Raw genomic sequence first — 2,158 nt, 5'->3', positions numbered from 1 at the left:
GGTTCCAGAACCTCCTTGAAAACTAAAATCTGCAGATTTCTCCTCAAGCCCCTGATAGAAAACAGAGTAGTATTTGCAGATACCTTATATACATCCTCCCCTGTACTTTAAATCATCTCTAAATTACTTATAGTAGTACCTAATACAATGTAAATACTATTTGAAGAGTTGTTACACTCCATTGGTTTTTTATTTGCATTATTTTTTTCCAAATATTTTTCATCCTGGTTGAATTTGTAGATACGGAGCCCATGGACACAGATGGCTAACTGTATTTTGTTTGCTGTTCCCACTCAAGAGAATGGAGCAGAAAGATGAACACAGCTGGGACAATGACAGCAGCATTGCAGAGCTCACGTCAGCCCTGTACTACCTCCTGAGACCTCTCGTTATGGGAGAAGACAAATTCCTTTGTGCTTGCACTACCCTAGCAGGAATGTGTCACACACAGCTAAATGCAATCCCAACTAGGACACTTGGAATATGGCAACTCACAGCTGGGGGCTAACCCATCAATGTGTCTTGTTTGGGCAGCACAGTGTTTTAAGTAATTATACTTCAGACATGGGAAACTTCATTCAAAATCCAGATTTCTGGCTTCTTTGGAAAAGCTAAAAGGTACAGAAAGATTGGGCTTATACTCCCATGAGGCACACAGTCCCCCTGTCACTCCCTCTAATTAAGGGGAGGCTCAGTTGCCCTTTATCATCACACCTGAGCTGATGTTCGCTTGGCCTCCACAGATGTTTGGGTTCATGCCATTTGGGAATGAGCACAGGTTTGTTAGTTGGCCACCTTGGCTCTGTGTCAGTTGTGCAGCACATCTTTGAGCCCCTATTTCTTAATAGATACAACATGTACAAGAAGCGAAGGTGTTGGCTTAAGGGAGAAAATGCCAAAGTACTTAGTATGTTATCTGCTATTTCAAAGAGCCCCCAAGAAATATTAGCTCATTTCCTCTCCTCTGCAGATTTGAGATATCAATTTTCTTGTGATTGAATAACTCAGGAATGTGATGGCTCACATGTGACTTAAATACTACAGCTGTCCCTTCCAGAGGTGACACTGCCAATTTAGTGACTAAGCTCAGCTTCTGACTACTGACTTAAAGGAGGGTGCCCCTGCAGGGTCCCCATCACAGACATTAGAGTTGGATTTTGAACAATTCAGTTCAGTGAACATGGGCCTACCATAACCAAAGGGTCCATTTTCTGGTCTCCCTCTCACCCTGGGACACTTCCCTGTGTCCTTGTCCATCAAGCCCCCTTAGGCTTCCTGAATAATATTCTTCTCCATAGAAACCTTCTCCTGACAGCTACAAAGACTTATTTGCACTGGGAGCCTCTTCTACAGCAGGTAAGGCCAGCAGGCTGAAACCTTCACACCTGGGTGCCTTGGCCGATGTTATTCTCTCTGCAGGAATGCCCTTCTGGTCTTCTTCCGAGAAAAACAAAACAAAACGAAAAACTGCTGATTTGTGCAGGGCACGGTGGCTCACGCCTGTAACCCAGAACTTTGGGAGGCTGAGGTGGGTGGATTGCTTGAGGCCAGGAGTTCAAGACCAGCCTGTCCAACATGGTGAAACCCCATCTCTACTAAAAATACAAAAAATTAGCCAAGTATGGTGGCACACATCTGTAATCTCAGCTACTCAGGAGGCTGAGGCACAAGAATCACTTGAACCTGGGAGGCAGAGATGGCAGTGAGCCGTGATCGCACCACTGCACTCCAGCCTGGGTGACAAAGCAAGACTCTGTCTCAAAACAAAGAAAAAAAAAAAACTGCTGACTTGTTAATGCCAACTCCTACAAAGTTCTGCCTTCACCTCTTAGGCAGAAAGACTTGCTCCTCCTTCAGAGTCTCATTGCCAACTGAGCTCCAGTCACATGACACAGCAGTGAGTCTAGTAGGAAAGACAGTACTTTAATATACCCAGCAACCACTCAGTGTCAGGAGCTTAGAAGGTGTTTAATAAAGAAGATGGAGGTCTGCTCGCTGACTGGCTGGTGGACAGGTGGGCTACTTCTACCTGGCGGCCTACTTCTACCTGGCGGCAGATAGCCAGCAGGGAAGGATTTCCAGGCCAGCCTTACCCTTTACCCTTGCCTTTCTGCCTTCTGAGATCTTCTTTCCCTGAGGCTGGTGGGGCAGAAAGCAG

General features: G+C 45.7%; 1 annotated feature.

Annotated features, from left to right (window-relative positions):
- Positions 474–1,673: an enhancer, noted in NCBI's record as "P300/CBP strongly-dependent group 1 enhancer chr3:43794737-43795936 (GRCh37/hg19 assembly coordinates)". NCBI's record gives its function as "activates an origin of replication core promoter dependent on BRD2, BRD4, P300/CBP, MED14 and CDK7 cofactors, with strong dependence on P300/CBP, by STARR-seq in HCT116 cells {active_cell/tissue: HCT116}" and the evidence as "EXISTENCE:reporter gene assay evidence [ECO:0000049][PMID:35650434]".

The sequence above is a fragment of the Homo sapiens genome, chromosome 3 (genome assembly GCF_000001405.40).
Source record: "Homo sapiens chromosome 3, GRCh38.p14 Primary Assembly".
In the NCBI taxonomy this organism is placed as follows: domain Eukaryota; kingdom Metazoa; phylum Chordata; class Mammalia; order Primates; family Hominidae; genus Homo; species Homo sapiens.
This window is presented reverse-complemented; position numbering and strand designations above follow the sequence as displayed.